Raw genomic sequence first — 16,727 nt, 5'->3', positions numbered from 1 at the left:
CACTTGGGACTGGAGGGAGAGCGTGGATAGGGAGAAGGTGCCAACCAGCCCAGGCACCTCCTCCTGGCCTCCCTCTGGCCCTGGGCAAAGGGCTGGCACCCCTGCCTTGCCTCTGGCTTAGCCTGTCCAGCTTTGGCAGAGCCCTAGGCAGGGGGCAAGTGACTGGGAGGTCCCTGGCATGGGGTACACGGCCAACTCCGCCCCTGCCCCACCCTGCCCCTGATATGCCCCTGGTGACTGACTTCCCCTTTCCAGGACTCAAGTCTTCAGTCTGGCTCCCACCGTCTATAGGCCCATGCTCAGCAGGGTCAGAAGTAGAGAAGGGCTCTGGAGCCCTGGGGAGCTGATTGGAATCCCAGGTGTGGCTCTCATGTGTGACCCCTGGGCAAGTCACTTCCTCTCAGAGCTTCAGTTTCTCTCATTTGTAAAATGGAGATACTGACATCCACTCCAGAAGGTTCTGTGGAGGACTGGCGATGAGAAGAGTGTGCCTAGGTCAGTGCTGCACCCGATAAAGGCACCCGCATCGCCTGCTCGCCCCCACCCCCACTGCCTCTGGCTCCTATGCCCCCCTCGCTGCTCCCAGGACTTCAGGGCACCTGGGTGAGTAGGACTTGAGGAGTGACCTTGGCTGGTAAGGACTTGCTGCCAGGCCTGCCCTGGGATGCCCTTTGTGCCCGCTGAGAAGAGAACGCCACCTGGGCCAGCTGTCAGGTGTGTCTGCTCAGGCTGGGGCCGGTACCAACATGCCCACCTTGGCCTCTGCCCCCAGACAGCTCTCTCCTGCCAGGCCACCCTCAGTCACCCAAGGCCCAGTCCAAACTAGAGGCAGAACCACCCAAGTTGGAGTCCCACACCCACCTCCCAGGGCCCACCCCTTCCCTCCCAGGCCCTTGAGGCAGCAATGCTGAGTGGCTTGAGGGCCTCAGGCTCCCGGCCTGGCAGGGTTGTCACCCTCTGGCCAGCCCTGGAGGGGACGGCGCAGCAAGAGGCAGCGAGGACAGCTTGGATTCTCCTGGGTTTGGGCACTCACCCCCGGGGCTGTGGAGGCAGGAGCGTCCTGCCCCGGGGTGGGCTGCAGATGGTGGGCGGCGGTGCAGACGTGCCCTGGGGCTTGAGCTGGTGGCTGCTCCTCCCCTGGCTGCTGCAGCAAACAGGAACAGGACGGAGGGCAAAGGTCGGGCCGAGAAACTCCCAGGGCCTGAGGGTCTGCAGACGGTGAGTCCGCCCGGCAGCGGTGGCTGATCTGGTTCTGCATGTCCCGTGTGTCCCTTGTGTCAGGCACAGGGCAGATGATGGAGGAAGGTTTGCAGAAAAGGGCCCAAGGGATTTGGAGAGCTCCCTTCCCCTACCCTGCTCAAAAAGGGCCAGTGACAAGCCTTGGCAATATAACATGTCTATTTTATTTTAAAAAACAAAACCCAAACCACCTGACCCCTTCCCCAGGAGGCTCTTGACGAAACTCTAGGGAAGGGCCTGGCTCCAGCCAAGCAGGGGACAGTCAGAAGATGTCAACATGGATGCCAGGCTGGTGGGCTCCGCCCTTCTCCAAGCCCCCCATCCACCCCCTTTGCTCCTCGGTGCTACAGGCACTGCCGGGTTGAGGGGACAGGCAGGGCAGGACTGTGGGCATGCAGAGCCTCCTGGCAGCCAGGGAGGGCTGCCCGCCCCCCTGCATCTGGCGAGGCAGGCAGCTGTGTGCGCAGTGATGGAGCTAGGAGGAGGAAACATGCGCAGACACCCCGTGTTCCCGCTTCCCCACGTGGCCAGGAGAGTGTTCAAACACGAACAAGGATGGCTGGGCACTCAGGGCCCCAGCCCCCAACCCAGGAGAGGAAGAGGGGGGTCCCGCCCTCCTGGTTCTTTTGTTCGTCCTTAGATGGATGGTGTTCTCGGTGCCACTCGGCAGAAATTCTGCAGACTGAGGCGGAGGCCCGGGAGGAGGGCGTGCATCCGCAGAGCCCACAGGGCTCGGACCCTCTGCCCCCAGCGACCTCCATTCGCTACCTGTCGGGCAGGATGCCCAGGGGTGCCGGGCACCTGATCTGGATCCCTGGAGTGGAGGGACCCTGTCTTAAGCCACACTCGGTGGTTCTGCCGCCCAGGGCAGGGGTGGACTGTAGGCTCCCGACAGCATGACAACAGCCGTGACAGTGTGCCTGCCGGCTGGCGTGCCTTCCTTTCCTGCCCACCAGGGACGCCAACCAGCTCTGCCTCAGCACCAGGGGTCTCGGGAGGCTCGGCCGCGGCAGAGACTGTCGCTCCGCTGCCAGGCGCTGTGGATGAGGCTCAAGGCATCCTCGAATTTCTTCTTGTTGGAGGCTTCCTGGATCGCCGTGTGGGGGAGGTCCACCTGTGTTGGGGCGTGCAGAGAACAGATGAGGGCCACTGAGGGCCACAGGAGTCTTCAGGGCTTGTGGGCACCAGGCCTGCCTCTGCCTTGGCCACGGAGCCCCTGTCAGGCCCTCCCCATCTCTCCCTGGGAACATCTTCCACGCTGCTAGTTTCTCCCGCTCTTCCAGGGGCTTGAGCTGAGGATGGGGTGGTGCCCCCCGAGCTCCCTCTTTCCTGGGAAGGCCCCAGCTCTCAGGATGGCCCAGCGAGGCAGGCGCTGCACTCTGTTTGGCTCTGCAGGGAGGTGTCTGTCCTGAGCTGTTCTCTGCCTCTAACTAGTCCAGGCTTCCACGGGGCTAGAGCGTAGCATGTGCTCAAAACCCGCTTGTGCAGGGCTCTCATGAGCACGCTCCCACACTGGCACTCAGCCTGGAGGGCAAGGAAGAGGGTACTGCCAATATTGTGTCCCCCCATCTGAGCACAGCTGGAGGTCCACCACAATTCGTGCTGTTTGATTGGAACTGAGGTCAGGAATTAAGCTTCTTGGGTTCTGTTTTCAGCTTTGGCCTCAGACTCACTGGGAGTCAGGGTTTTGTCCTTTTGATTCTAAGTTTTTGTGCCTGTCAGGTGTGTCTGCTCAGTCTGGGGCTGGCACCAACATGCCCACCTTGGCCTCTGCCCCCAGACAGCTCTCTCCTGCCAGGCCACCCTCAATCACCCAAGGCCCAGTCCAAACCAGAGGCAGAACCACCGGGGCTGGAGTCCCACACCCACCTCCCAGGGCCCACCCCTTCCCTCCCAGGCCCTTGAGGCAGCAATGCTGAGTGGCTTGAGGGCCTCGGGCTCCCAGCCTGGCAGGCTTGTGCGCAGCAAGAGACGGCAAGGACAGTGAGGACTCTTCTGGGTTTGTTTTAAGAGCAGCAGGCACTCACCCCCGGGGCTGAGGCAGGAGCGCCCTGGTACATGGCTGTGCCCAGGACCCTGGAGGCAGGGCCAAGTCCTGGGAGCAGCAGGGGTTCCTCTCCCCGGGGAGTGGCTCCCACTCCACAGGGTCCCTGGCTAATGGGTTTCCTGGGCAGCTGGGTACCTGATAGATGGTTTTCCACCCAGAGTTCAGTGCAGACAGCAATCGGTCCAGTTCAGAAGTGCAGCTCAGGTAGATGACCCAGGGCGGGAGGAGCTGCTGGCTGTCCTGGGAGAACTCCTAGGGAGAGCCAGGCCCCCGGGTGAGCAGCCAGAGCTTTCCTTCTGCAGGCCTTGCAGCCCCGCCCCCACTCAAAGCTCACCAAGACGCAGTACTCCTTGCCCGGCTCGGTGGAGACGGCGCTGATGTCGCCCAGCTTGGCTGTGCCCAAAGAGCGGAAGAAGCTGGTCTGGCAATCCTCATGGCACGTAAAGAGGCGGTCATCCGTGAGGACCAGGCAGCAGGGTATGCAGGGGCTGGGAGCTACGCCCTGGGGGATGACCTGGCAGCGGGGCAGGGGAGAGGCAGGCTGGGGCCTCCAGGGCTGGTCTGCACCAGAAGTCCACACTCCAGGGGACCAGCCAGCCCTTCTGCTCTCCCTCCAGGGATCTCCCTCCAGGGATCGGGAGCAGAGGCGGGGATGGGGGTGATGCCTCTGAGCTCCAGGGTCCATTCCTGGGCTGCCCCCTGGAGGTCCGTCTTGGCCCTCAGGTTGCTCTGTGACTATGGGTTTAGGGATGGGACCCTGGGGGTCTGGGTGGGTCAGGCAAGCCAGGTGAGCGGTAGGGGCAGGCGAAGCTCACCCCTTTGGACACAGCCTGGCAGAGATGCTGCATCCACTCGGCCATCTCGGCCTCGCTCTCGGCACTTAGCTCCAGGCAGGGCCGGTCGGAGAGAATGACCTGGAAGGCGTGGGGCCGATCCGTGGTGTTGGCTCTCCGGCAGCCACCGCACTGCTCCCCCCTGGGCCAGAGGAGGAGGGTGAAACGGGAGCGAGGAGGCAAGGGCAGCACGGGGCGACAGCCCCCAGGGTTGGTGCGGGGTGTGCGGCACAGGGTCTGCCCCACCGTCTTGGGGGCTGGAGGATACCAGAGGGTTCTCCAGGCCCCTCCAGCTCCCAGGAGAGGTCTGGGAGCCCCACCCACCGCCTTGCTGTGCGATGCCTTTCACCTCCAGGATGCCCAAGATCCTCTAGATACCCAAGCATGGCCAGGAGGGGTTGGGAATCAGCTGTCCCACTGGCCCTCTGAGAATCGGCCGCATTCATTCACGCATGCTTCCTCTTGAGGGCCTGCTGTTCCTCCCAAATACCCGAACGTCCATCTCCCATCAGGCCGGGAGCTTCTGGGGAAGGGCCTGCCTCCCCCATCAGACTGGACCTGTTCTAAGCCAGGAGCTCCTTGCTGCCTCCCTCCTCCCCTCCTGTGGGCTCCTTGCAGCCCTCAGAGCGTGGAAGCCCCAGGCCACCTGTCAGGGCCGCTGGATGGGGTGGGGTTGAGGGCGAGGCTGAACTGCCAACAGGGGCAGCCATCTCAAACCAGGGAAACGGCAGCTCTGGGCCCCAGGATACACCCGCTTCTCCCGGGACACTTACCCCATGTTCACCGAGAGCAGAGGGATGACGTCGGTGCGGTCCGGGTACTGGTAGAGGATCCCGTTGCTGCAGGGGCACAACACAGGGCGAGTGAGGCCTGTCCCAGGAACTGGGGCCAGGCGGAGCCCAGGTCCCAGGGTTCCCCTCCCACGCACATGCTGCGGCCATGAACCTGAGGCAAAGGACACCAGGGGCTGTCATCTACGGAAGGCAGGGTGAAGAAGGGCCTGGGGGCCCAGCAGGGAATGTGGCCACCTCAGCAGACCTGGGGCGCAGCTCAAGGTTCATCGGGGGACCAAGCCTGCATCCTCCCCTGAGGCACTCAGGGATTCCTGGGGCCCCAAAGATGACTGGCTCTACAGAGAAGCTCTAACAGCCTGAGCTAAGTCAACTCCAAGCTCTGGTAGGGAAGGGAGGCGTCCTCTCCTCAGGCTGCTCCCTCAGTGACCTGCTGCGGAGAGATCCCCGCTGGGGACCTGACAGCCCAGCCACCCCAGGGCCCAAGCCCCAGGCCTAGAGCTGCCAGGGCTCCCACCTGAGCACCACGAAGCACGTCTTCCAGTGTTCCTTGCCCAGGTAGGAGGTGCCCGCCTTGTAGTGCAGCATGCCTTCTTTGGTGATGGTGCCCTCGGGGGGTGAGCAGTGGCAGGGCGTGGGGCCCAGGGACTCGTCTGTGGGGTCCTCCCAGTGCACAAGGCCGTAGAAGCGCACGGTGACAGCAGATGCCTGATGCGGGGGCGGGCACGGGGGACAAAGCAAGTAAGGCCTGGGCCAGGCAGGTGGCTGAGCCCGGACTGGTTCTTTTTTTTTCTTTTTGAGATGGAGTCTCGCTCTGTCGCCCAGGCTGGACTGCAGTGGTGTGATCTCCACTCACTGCAACCTCCATCTTCCAGGTTCAAGCAATTCTCCTGCCTCAGCCTCCCAAGTAGCTGGGATTACAGGCGCCCATCACCACGCCTGGCTGAATTTTTGTATTTTTAGTAGAGACGGGGTTTTGCCATGTTGGCGAGGCGGGTCTCGAACTCCTGACCTCAGGTGATCCGCCTGCCTTGGCCTCCCAAAGTGCTGGGATTACAGGCGTGAGCCACTGTGCCCTGCCGAGCGAGGGTGTCTTAACCTTAGGACACACCCCAGGTAGGAAGGTGGACATGACTTTCCTCCCTTCCAGGGTGGGAAAGCCCCGCCCCGCCCCGCCCCGCCCCGCCCCGCCCAGGTAGGCGATTGTGAAATGGCAAAGACATCCACGTGCATCCCTTAACGCTCACGCCAAGGCGGCTGCTGCTCTGCCATCTCAGGGGCTGCACTCAGCTTCCTCCCCAGGTTCTTACCTCACACTTCGATTCTTGGGCCACAAATTTGGCCAGTGCCAGCTTCTCCATGGTGGCATCCGTCAGGATGCTGGGGTAGGGAGGTTCTCGACAGCCTTTGATCATGGCTGACTTCAAAGAAGCCAAAAAGAACCTGCATAGGGAGTGAGGTTTGTGGTTAGAGGCCTGGGAACAGGGCCTCAACTGGACAGGGCTTAGTCTTGAGCGCTGCTGGCCTGGAGGGGTCACAGAAACTTGGGGGAGAGACCTGGCTAGACCCAGTGACCAGGGCGGCAGGTGCGGCAATGACGCAGGTCCAAGGTCATCAAATGACAACTGGAACAGGCCTGATCGTTCTCAATGGCCAAGGGGCCTTGGATTTTGACAGTGAGGGAAGACAGACAAAGAGGGTGGGCAGGACGTCAACGGGTGGGACCTTGAGCCACGACAAGGATGCAGGCGTTCAAGGGCACGCCTGGCCCAGCAGCATGGCTCTCTGCCTGCCTTCCTGTCCAACAACTCATGCTAGCACCCCCAAGAGTCGCCAGGGGCTGAGGTCACCTGGGCTGACCACATGAGTCCTATGATTGTCGTCTACTTGCCTGCCTCTCTGAGCAGATGCAGGTTCCAGAGGGAATACATCTGGTTTCCCCTCCTGGATCTCCCACTTTCCACCTCCACCCCTGACCCCCAGGCCACCCACACCTATGGGCGGCTGCGAACTCTCCAATCCTTCCAGAGGGGCGGGGTTGCCACTCACTCAGCCAGCGCCACATCAGCCGTGTCCAGCAGAAACTGCTTCCTGCGGTTGGTGCACACCAGCTTCACCGTCTGCTGGTCAAGGCCAACCTGCCAGAAACCACACCGTGACATGCACTTGGGGCTTAGCTGCTGCCTGGCGGAGAAGGCAGCTTGGCCAGGCTGAGCGCTTGCTGGGGAGGAAGAAGCACACCCCGGGCCACCACCAAGTAAAGCCCCAGAGGCCAGGGGCTGGCATGAGTGAGGGAGGGACGGTCAGAAGTCTAGCACGGGAAGAGGCAACCTCAAGCTTGGTTCTTACCCCCAGCATCGTGTACAGAAGCCTCTCTGAGAGTTAAGTTGGTGCCCAACCCCGGGAGGGGAGTAAGGGGCCGTGCCTCGCCCTGCAGTTCTATGGGTAAGTGGCTTGAGAAGCCCTGTACCTACAGCAGGCGCACAACTGCGGGGCCTGGACTCACCGACACATAGTCAAGTTCATTGTAAGAAACGGCCTCTTCCACCAGGTATGGCTTCTCTGTGGCCCCTGAGAGAGGAAACCCCAAGGCCTATTATCCCCACAGGCCTCTTTTCCCTCCCCCTGCCCCATTTTCTTAGACACAGCCCCCTCTCTTAGAGGGCCTCTCCTTGCCCTGCAGTAGGAGAATGGCGTGGAGTGCTCACAGAGGGAGCCCCAGGCTCACGTCTCAGGGCTGCTGGCAACACCTTCCTTGGGGTGCCTTTCCATCACTGCATGCCAGGCAGCCGGGAGGCACTCAGAGGGCAAGGGGACTGGGGAAAAGGGGCTGAGAGTCAGCCTCGTCTACAACCCGCTGTCTGCCCGGGGGCGGCGGGCACCTTTCCGGAGCAGGTAGACATAGCAGTCTGTGAGCAGCACGTACAGCAGCTGCAGGTTGCCCTCCATGTGCCCGGTGCTCATCCGGATCATCTGGGGGCCGAAGCAGACAAGGGTCAGGCAGGTGGCTCCTGCCGCTCCAGCGGGGGCGGTGGCCCATCCCGCCTTGCCCTTGCCGTCTCTTGCTCACTCCTGAGTTCCTAGGACTTACTTTGAACAGCTGCTCTTCGTTTTCTCGGAACACGTGGATCATGAGCAGGAGCAGGTGATTGTTGTCTACTCTGTGAGGGCCAAGTCAGGAGGGCGAGATGTCAGGCAGGCAGCGGTGAGAGAGGCCACACCCCACCCCAGAGCCAGGGGGTAGTGCCTCCGCCTCCCACTAGGAGCCAAAGTTAGGGAGGGAGGCTCACACCCCTTCTCACTCAGGCTAGGTCTTCCTAGTGCTTAATTTATCTGGAGGTCAGAGGCACAGTGTCCCCAGCTTCAAGGGCTGGGAGAGTCCCATGCCAGCTGCAGAGTCTTGTTACCTGAACTCCGAGGAATGGACCATCTCCGAAGGGCTCCCCTGTCCCTCATCCACCCCAGAATCCTCAGCGCTACTCAGACACGGGCTGGGCTGGTCTCGCTTGAGCTGGCAGAGAACCTCCTGGGTCCCAGGCTCTGGCTCAGACACAGGCCCCTCCCTGACCAGGGACAGCTGGGCCTCCAGCTCCTGAGCCTCCCTCGTGGTATCCTCTAGGGGCCGAGGCGTCTGTCCCTCTCCTCCTCCTCCCTCTTCTTCTTGGCCAGCAGCCTCAGGGCTACTAGGAACATGCAGCGGTTGGCCAAGCCCTGCAGGGTCATGGTGGCCGCCACCTGATGTAACAGTGCTTGGACTCTCGACGGTAAAGCGGTAGAAGTCCATTGGGGCTGAAAGCCCCTCACTAAAGTCGCAAAGCGGCGGCCTCTCCGGGGCATCCCCGGGAGAGCCGGTCCGAAAGGACTGGTCTGGGGGCTCAGCACGGGAGCACCAGGTGCTGGGGTCCAGCTGCCCGTTGAGCTGGTCGATAACCTTGCTCAGGGGCTGCCCCAAGCGCTCCATGGAGGTGTCCTTCATCTCAGGGATCAGCAGGCCCGGCTCGGAGCGCTCGCTGCTCTCCGTGGTGCTGCTCGGCCCCTCTCCCTCCTCCTGGGGGGAGGCAAGCATAGTGTCTGGCGAGTCCCGCCCAAGGCTTGGGCTGCCGTTGCGGCTGTCACCGTCCCCCTGCTTGGCACATTTCTTCTGGCTGCAGGCGGGGTGGAGTGGACTTGCCTCCTCATCTGATCTGCTCTTTTTCTTCTTGCCAATTTTCTTCTTCTTGGTGACCCTGGGACAGTAACGACGGGGAGAGTGTTAACCCCTGAGTAGTCCAGTGCTGAGGAAAACCAGGCTGGGTCACGGTGGCAATGCTGGCCATGTAGCCTCTGAGGGCACAGCTAGTGCGTCAGTGGTCCTAGGCAGTGCTGGGTGGAGGCACTGGGTCAGAGGACAACAGTGGCTCAGGCCCCGAGGCACCCCCTTTGCTGGCAGGGGCGGGGTGGGGGTAGCATGGGCTGGGCACAGATGGCTGCAGCCAGAGGAACCCCAGAGTGGGTCTACTGAATTCCTCCTAATGGAACAGCTGAGCTAGCTGCACTCTAGGAAAGAAAAACAGGCCATGGCTGGTCAGGCAATGCCCCCTCCACTCAGCCCCCCTTCGGATGTGGATCCCGAGCTGACCTCACTTCCCTCAGGCATCATCATGGAGGAATCACCCAGAAAGCACTCAGCGCTTTCTGGGCTCACGCTCCGGGTCCCACTCTGGTTCCAGGTTGGCTGGAGCGGGCTTAGCTAAGGGACCCCAGGTCTGAGCATGATGCTGCTGTGGACTGGAACCAGCCCATGGGGTGGCCTCCTGGCTCCAGTCACTGGGGAGCAATCCCCCGCCTCAGGCCAGCAAGCCTGGGCAGTCTGACACGCACACAGGGCTTCTCCTCTTAGTCAGTGTGAAGTTTTAAGAGGGGGTCGGGGAGGTCAGGGAGCCGGGGAGGCTCTGGTTGACAGTCCCTGCTGGCCACCCACCATGTCCTTCCTTTCCATGTCCTGCCCATATGACAAAGATACTTTTCTTTCAATGAATCTCAGAAATTGTATCTTAACTTCCAAGAACTCCCTTGGGAAGAAGTACAGCCTGAAGGTGCTTTCTGATCTTAGGCAGACCCAGCAAACGCCCTGGCAGCCTGGACATGGCCCCAGACACCAGCCACGGTCGCTGCCTGTGCCACCTGCTTCCAAGGGCTTGAGCCCTACAATGGAGTGAATGTGTGTGTCCCCTCCAGATTCCTGTGTTGAAATCCTAACTCCCAATGTGATGGTATCAGGGGGTGGGGGGTGATGAGGTCCTGAGGGTGGGATCCTCAGGAATGGGATCAGCACCCTCATAAAAGGGACCCTAGAGAGCTCTCTCTCCACTCCCCGCCACAACACAGCGAGAAGAGGGACATCTGTGAATCCCTCATCAGAGGCTGGCCACACCGGCACCCTGACCTCGGACTGTAGGCTCCAGAGCTGTGAGAAAGAATGTCTGTTGTGGAAGCCGCCTGTCTGCGGTGCTTTGTTCCAGCAGCCGAGCTGACTAGGACAGGCCTCCACTTCCTCTTGCTCAAAGAACCTCCTAGAGGTGGGAAGGGTTTCCAGGAAGGCATGCAACTGCCCTCAGGGGGTGTCCCGGTCTGCCCTGGATGAACAGCTGATGCTGGGAGTGGACAGGTTGGACCCCAGGACCTCAGCTCCTTTCTGGGCCCCTCCCTGCTGACCTGATGACCTCGAGCTCCGTGCAGGCATCCGGCGGGTCCAGGGCCTGGGCCTCCTCCTTCTCCTGAGAGGTGGTGTGCACGGGGGTGGTGTCAGAGGAGGACACAGTCTCTGCCGGCTCCTCGTTGAAGGGGTTCTGGCGCTGGGTGGGGCTCCTGGTGGAGGCCTTGCTGCTGGTCAGGTCGGAGGCTGTGGAGCGGGGACCACTGACCGTGTCTGTGAGGTCTCCATCTGGGAGGACAAGGAAGCAGGAGACACCCTGTCAGGCACCCCCCGGGGTCCCCGACCCCCAGAGCATGCGTTAGCCCAGGAGGGAGGCAGGCTGGCCAGTTCCTCCCAGGGAAACCTGACAGGGGTGGCCCCATTTCGAGTAGAAGCCACAACCTAACAGGACATGGGGTTTTGTACTTTAGGAGCAACTTGGAAGGAACACCATCTCCACCACCCCTGGGGCCTCCGGAGCTCACAACAATTTGGCTGAGTTTGTGTTAAGGGCCCCCGCGGTGAAGCAGCCTCCAGGCTCAAGCTCCAGGCTTAAGTCCCATAGGAATGGTGACTTCGAGGCCTCCATGGGTGGCTGGGAGCCCTAGAGAGGAGCCAGGCTGCACGCCTCTTAGGTTACCCTCAGAGCCTTCCTGCCAGGACGCTACAGGGGTACCCAGCAGCCCCGTTAGCCCCATACCCCACTTGTAGGGCTGAGAGGTGCCCAAAGTCCTCTGAAGGGTCCCTTGCAGAGGTAAAAGGAACACAAAGGGAGAAGAATGGAGGAAGACAGCAGAGAAAGTGAGGGGTGCAGAGTGGGGGCAGAGGCTAGGAGACAGGATGGGAGCCCAAGGGGTGGGAACCATGGGGCAGAGGGAAATGCCCAGAGCACAGAGTAGAGACAAGATGACAGAGCAGGGCAATGAGAGCAAGGTGCGAAGGGGCAAAGACAGGGGTCCGAGAGGCCGCCCCCCAGGCTGCTTCTCCCCAGCACCCCTGACCCTACACACTCCTCGGGGGCAGGACCAGGTGCCCCTGCAAGGGTGGTGCTGAGAACTCCATTTCTTTCTTTTTTTTTTTTTTTGAGACGGAGTCTCTCTCTGTCGCCAGGCTGAAGCGCAGTGGCGCGAGCCCGGCTCACTACAACCTCCAACTCCCGGGTTCAAGTGATTCTCCTGCCTTAGCCTCCCGAGTAGCTAGGATTACAGGCATGCGCCACCATGCCCAGCTAATTTTTGTATTTTTAGTAGAGCTGGGGTTTCACCATGTTGGCCAGGATGGTCTCGATCTCCTGACCTCGTGATCTGCCCGCCTCGGCCTCCCAAAATGCTGGGATTACAGGCGTGAGCCACCGTGCCCGGCCGAGAACTCCATTTCATTCAAGTGTCAGCTCACTGACTGGTCCTTTCTGACTCATACCCTGACACGGCCCCCGAGAGGGGAGCTGGCTTGGACATCCCGCCCCACCCAGCCATCTGCCCCTGGTTACTGGAACAGGGCAGGAGAGGGAGCACGGGCAGGTGAAGCACACAGCCCATACGGCCAGTGGCAGATGGGAGCCACCCAAGCAGAGAGCTGAGGCCCAGCTGGTGAAACTGCCTGGGTGAGGGTCAATGGCAAGGGCCATGGCTGGTCGTGCTCTATTTGCCGGCCAATGCTCATCTTGCTGGCCGCTGTCTGCCCGGAAGAAAAGAGGCAAACATGCACCCCACAGCCCCACTGGGGGCCCAACCAGCTGTCAACTTAGTGCCCTTGGAAGCCACAGGGCAGCTGTCTGCTGATGCAGCACACCGTCCTTTTTTTTTTTTTTTTTTTTTTTTTGAGACAGGGTCTCGCTGTGTCGCTCGGACTGGAGCGCAGTGGCGCAATCACAGCTCACTGTAGCCTCGACCTCCTGGGTTCAAGTGATCCTCCTGCCCTGCCTCAGCCCACAGAGTAGCTGGGACTATAGGCGTGCACCACCAAGCCTGGCTAATTTTTATATTTTTAGTAGAGACGGGGTCCCCCTGTGTTGCCCAGGTTGGTCTCAAACTCCTGGGCTCAGGCGATCCTCCAGCCTCAGCCTCTCAAAGTGCTGGGATTACAGGTGTGAGCCTGGCCCTTTTTTTTTTTTTTTAAGTCTGCTGTCTTTTAATATAAGGACAAAAGAGGAGGCTAAAGGCAATGAGTAGCTCTGCCAGAAAAGACCAGCAACATCGGGGACTTTTTCCAGATTTCCGGGGATCTCAGAGCCTAAGTTCTAAGATACAGAAAACCGCGTCTCTCGGTCCCAAAGCAGGCTCCTGCCAAGCCCATGTGTTCTTGCTCCGGCTCCTGTGATTCTCCTCAGCACACGCAGTTGCACCCAAGAGGAGCCCTGAGAGGTGAGTGGGCAGATCATGAGATGTGGTGGGTGTCAAGGCCCGCATGCCCACCAGCTCTGTAAATAAGCCAAAGACCAGGGGAAGGCCACCCCAGGCTCAGAGTTTGGAGCTGCCCCAAGTCCTGCCTTCCTCCAGGTCCAAGGAGAAGACAGAGCCTCCCCGGGTGAGCTGCCAGAGTGAGCTCAGGAATCCTGCTCCAGGAACTCCAGAAATCTCACCCTGCCCTGAGGCAAGCAGTGCAACTGGGCTGTTAGTTCTCAGGCCGCAGGGAGCTCTGAAAGGCTGTAGAGGAAGGTCAGGCCCTGCTTGTCAAGTGACTGCAGCAGGCGTGTCAGGAGGGGGGTTAGTTGTTAGAATCGGAGGGAAAAAAAAACAATATCCAGCATGTGTGCTGCAAGAAGAGGGGCTAAGAGGGTACATGATGTTATGATGGAATTCTGGAATCCAAGCTAATTTAACTCAAACAGGGGACCCTTCAATGCTACTCTTGGCCAAGTGTCATAGTTTATTTTTCCCAATGCCACATCTTATTTCTCACAGAGTTAAGGTATTTCATACTCACATTATCTGGGAACGGATCACCTGTCACCCATTACTCAGCAATCACGTCTCTAATAATGCGGGGAGAGCCACGTGCCCCTCATCCTCAGGGTGTGGCAGTTCTCACCTCCCCTGTTCAGAGGCCAGGTTCCCTCACCTCCCCTGTTCCAGGCTGGAAGTGGCCCAGAGGGTAGGAGGCTCTTTAATAACAGGGATTTGGACCAGGTGCAGTGGTTCATGCCTGTAATCCCACACTTTGAGAGGATGAGGTGGGGTGGATCACCTGAGGTCAGGAGTTTGAGACCAGCCTGGCCAACATGGTGAAACCCTGTCTCTACTAAAAATACAAAAATTAGCCGGGCGTGGTGGCACACACCTGTAATCCCAGCTACTTGGGAGGCTGAGGCAGGAGAATTGCTTGAACCCGGGAGGTGGAGGTTACAGTAAGCCAAGATCACACCACTGCACTCCAGCCTGAGCAACAGAGCGAGACTCCGTCTCAAAAAGTAAAATAAAATAACATAAAGTAAAATAACAGGGATCTGCTATGGCCTCAGATTTAAGGGGGAAACATTCACCTTATTGGCAACATAGCCTTTGCTTTGAGTAATCGTGGCAACCTGGGAATAGCTTTGTGAATTTATGAAGTGGAATTTCAGGCAGAAAAATGCCCAGGCACTGCTACTGCCCAGCAGACAGGGTGGGAGGGCTGGCAGATTTCCTTTTAATCTGCTTTAAAGCTTCAAAGAGATTCTGTCTGTAGGAAGTTTCAGCTGTACCTGGGCAGTTTCCTGACTTGGACCTCAACCACTCCAAAACACCCAAGAGGAAGCCATTAGGAACAGACTGAAAGAATCAAGCTCTTTCTCTTCGATGCTCATCTGACCCGCAGGAGCTTACAACCCGCATGTTTAAAGGCATGGTTTTCCAGAACAAGTCTTGGTTCACTGGGTCAGGCCCTACACACCCCGAGAGCATCAGCTGGCACTGGAATCAGGAAGGGTGACCCTGTATCCCCCGAAATGCAGCCACTTAGTGACTCCGAAAGGCCACTGAGCAAAGGCAGGAGCCCTGCACTGGGAGAAGGGATTTGCCTATGGCTAGAGGTTGAGTTTTCCCACTGCAGAATTCCATCTATTAGAACACCAAACTTGGCTTTATTATGATTATGGATATTATTATAAATAATAAGGAGCTGATTTGATACATGCAGCAAGCTTGGCATGGAAACATTGCAAAACAGGAAAAGAGGGTAACAGCGGACTCTGGCCCACCTTCCCAGTCTGTGCTGGGTACAGACGGCACTGCTGGAAACACATCTCCAAAATCATAATCTACAAAAACGAGGGACAAAACTGAAGATTAGAAACACAGGCAGTGGAAGGATGACTGGAGGGAGGGGAGGGGAAATGGGGTGGGAGACATGGGGAGAAAATAGGAGAGGAAAACTTCAACTTTCTACATTGTATCCAACAACCTTGGGGAAACTTACTAGGGCCCTGACTGCCTCTCAGCTCAGGCGCTGGCCCAGGAGCCTCCAACCAGCTGGAAAGACCTGTCAGGGTGACCCCTTTCCACATCCAGAAGCTGGTTCTGGCAGAGAGAAGCCTGGCTGCCTGTGCCTAGCTTTGTTTTCTACCTCTTACGTGCCTTCCCTCCATACCCTAGCAGGGCAAGGAGACACTGCCCTGGCAGCTGCAGTTGCACAATCTCCAAATTGCTGAGGGGACACCTCCATCCATGGATCCATCCTTGCCCTGGCTCTTCCGGCAAGGCCCACCCCTCCAACTCCTCTAAGGTGGCCCATGGGCCCAACCTAAGGAGACTGTGCCGCCTTCTTCAGCTTGCACGGTCAGCAATGCAGGTCTTGCTAACAGCAAGTTTGAGAGGGACCTCCCTTCCTGGGACATATAACCCGTGGTACAGCAGAAATAAAGAAAGGGGAAGGTCAAGGTCTCAATGCTGAGGCAATTCTAGGGTGCCCCAGGGCTAAATTGGGGCTGGGATCCCCTTCCCTGGAGGTGAGGTGGTGGGGTGAAGTAAATGAAGGGCTCTGGTCTCCTACAGGAGATAAAGAGGGGAAAATGGCCAGTTTTATCCATGAACACCAGGGCCTAAGGTTTGAAAGAAACCAGGCTGTTCCAGTAAATCATTGGGTCAAGACAACAAAATGACCTGCAGCTTCTTCCTCGGTCCCTGATGCAAAGGGTGCGACCATCCCAAACACATCAGCGAGCGCAGAAGGAACTCAGAGAAATCGGACGGACACACAGGACACAGTGGCAAGGTTTCCCTGCGCTTCAGACCTGCCTGGTTCTCTCTTCTTCTAGGGGTTGCTTAACCTCCTTCTGCAAAGAATGTGGGGTCAGACAAGCTCCCCAGAACAGGCAACACTCAACCCTGCGACAAGGTTTCCAGGTCCCACTGCTAAACCTTCCTTGCTTAGAAAACTGCCACAGGCATGTGACTAGAACCTTCTGGAAAAGGGTCTAACCTTAAAAAATATATATTTTATATATATATATATATATATAATTTCAGCTTTTTGTGCCCAGAATCCACTTTTTAGCCACCACAGGGACTCTGAGGAGATGAAGATCTGGGAAATGGCCAGCCCTGTTTAATTGCAAATTTCAGCCACCAGACCAAAACTAGCCAAGGAAGACATCACCCAGCCAGGCTTAAGCAGTTCAAGTCTGTTTCACAACAGGGGCTTAGCTTTTCTGCCCTGGGGCCACTCACCCTCACTAGATGGGGCAATCGCACTGTCATCCCACTCCAGGTTGGTGGAGGTGACGGAGTTGAAAGAGTTGAGGGACAGACTGTCTGAGCCGTGGACCGAGCTGGGAAGGCGGTCTTCAAAGTCCAGCAGGTACTGAGGTTTGTAGTAGTCGGGCATGTAGGGGGCCAGGTCTAGGTAAGGGGCATCCTGAGGAGAGAGTAGAGGAGGCCCGTTTGGTGGGAGGCCTCGTGCAGCGGCCTTCTGCAGACAGCAGGATCCAGGCCTGGGAGACACAGATGTGCCTCTTTGGGAAATCAATGGCTTAAGGTAGTAAATTCAAAGAAAAGCTGCTAAGAAGAGCAATGTGAATAGTGTTGGCTTTTAAAGCTGTGGACTTCAGGCTGATGGAAGACAGAGCTGTCAGAACTCAGCTACACCCTTTGATGCCCCCGCTATCTCTCTCTCTCTCTATTTATTTATTTTTTTTTTTGAGACAGAGTCTCACTCTGTTGCCCTGG

General features: G+C 58.7%; 1 protein-coding gene across 5 annotated transcripts in view, besides 4 other annotated features; it reads right to left on the bottom strand.

The window, feature by feature from the left end:
- Positions 26-792: an enhancer, noted in NCBI's record as "H3K27ac-H3K4me1 hESC enhancer chr1:16061853-16062619 (GRCh37/hg19 assembly coordinates)". NCBI's record gives its function as "activates a minimal SCP1, AML or CMV promoter by ChIP-STARR-seq in naive H9 embryonic stem cells {active_cell/tissue: H9 hESC(naive)}" and the evidence as "EXISTENCE:reporter gene assay evidence [ECO:0000049][PMID:30033119]".
- Positions 793-1,558: an enhancer, noted in NCBI's record as "H3K27ac-H3K4me1 hESC enhancer chr1:16061087-16061852 (GRCh37/hg19 assembly coordinates)". NCBI's record gives its function as "activates a minimal SCP1, AML or CMV promoter by ChIP-STARR-seq in naive H9 embryonic stem cells {active_cell/tissue: H9 hESC(naive)}" and the evidence as "EXISTENCE:reporter gene assay evidence [ECO:0000049][PMID:30033119]".
- The window catches only part of PLEKHM2 (pleckstrin homology and RUN domain containing M2), a 53,264-nt gene continuing 37,917 nt past the window's right edge, over positions 1,381-16,727 (bottom strand). For 2 of the 5 annotated variants that reach the window (XM_017000757.1, NM_015164.4), the window contains exons 6-20: positions 16,230-16,416; positions 14,762-14,821; positions 10,605-10,833; positions 8,318-9,136; positions 8,002-8,071; positions 7,793-7,883; positions 7,417-7,481; positions 6,960-7,048; positions 6,221-6,353; positions 5,428-5,618; positions 4,893-4,958; positions 4,102-4,261; positions 3,621-3,800; positions 3,422-3,538; positions 1,381-2,353 (exon numbers count right to left, since the gene is read on the bottom strand). In XM_017000757.1, the coding sequence (XP_016856246.1) occupies positions 2,216-2,353; positions 3,422-3,538; positions 3,621-3,800; positions 4,102-4,261; positions 4,893-4,958; positions 5,428-5,618; positions 6,221-6,353; positions 6,960-7,048; positions 7,417-7,481; positions 7,793-7,883; positions 8,002-8,071; positions 8,318-9,136; positions 10,605-10,833; positions 14,762-14,821; positions 16,230-16,416 (2,595 nt within the window). In that variant the 3' untranslated portion in view covers positions 1,381-2,215. Of the gene's footprint in view, positions 2,354-3,421; positions 3,539-3,620; positions 3,801-4,101; positions 4,262-4,892; positions 4,959-5,427; positions 5,619-6,220; positions 6,354-6,959; positions 7,049-7,416; positions 7,482-7,792; positions 7,884-8,001; positions 8,072-8,317; positions 9,137-10,604; positions 10,834-14,761; positions 14,822-15,662; positions 15,814-16,229; positions 16,417-16,727 lie in introns of those variants that run through there. The other 3 variants (XM_017000758.1, NM_001410755.1, XM_005245791.5) reach the window with 2 other exon arrangements.
- Positions 10,306-10,826: an enhancer, noted in NCBI's record as "H3K4me1 hESC enhancer chr1:16051819-16052339 (GRCh37/hg19 assembly coordinates)". NCBI's record gives its function as "activates a minimal SCP1, AML or CMV promoter by ChIP-STARR-seq in primed H9 embryonic stem cells {active_cell/tissue: H9 hESC(primed)}" and the evidence as "EXISTENCE:reporter gene assay evidence [ECO:0000049][PMID:30033119]".
- Positions 11,346-11,622: a silencer, noted in NCBI's record as "fragment chr1:16051023-16051299 (GRCh37/hg19 assembly coordinates)". NCBI's record gives its function as "represses an EF-1alpha promoter that drives an FKBP-Casp9 reporter gene in an ReSE screen in phorbol 12-myristate 13-acetate-treated (for megakaryocytic differentiation) K562 erythroleukemia cells {active_cell/tissue: K562(+PMA)}" and the evidence as "EXISTENCE:reporter gene assay evidence [ECO:0000049][PMID:32094911]".

Source organism: Homo sapiens, chromosome 1, assembly GCF_000001405.40.
Source record: "Homo sapiens chromosome 1, GRCh38.p14 Primary Assembly".
NCBI classification, from domain to species: Eukaryota; Metazoa; Chordata; class Mammalia; order Primates; family Hominidae; genus Homo; species Homo sapiens.
This window is presented reverse-complemented; position numbering and strand designations above follow the sequence as displayed.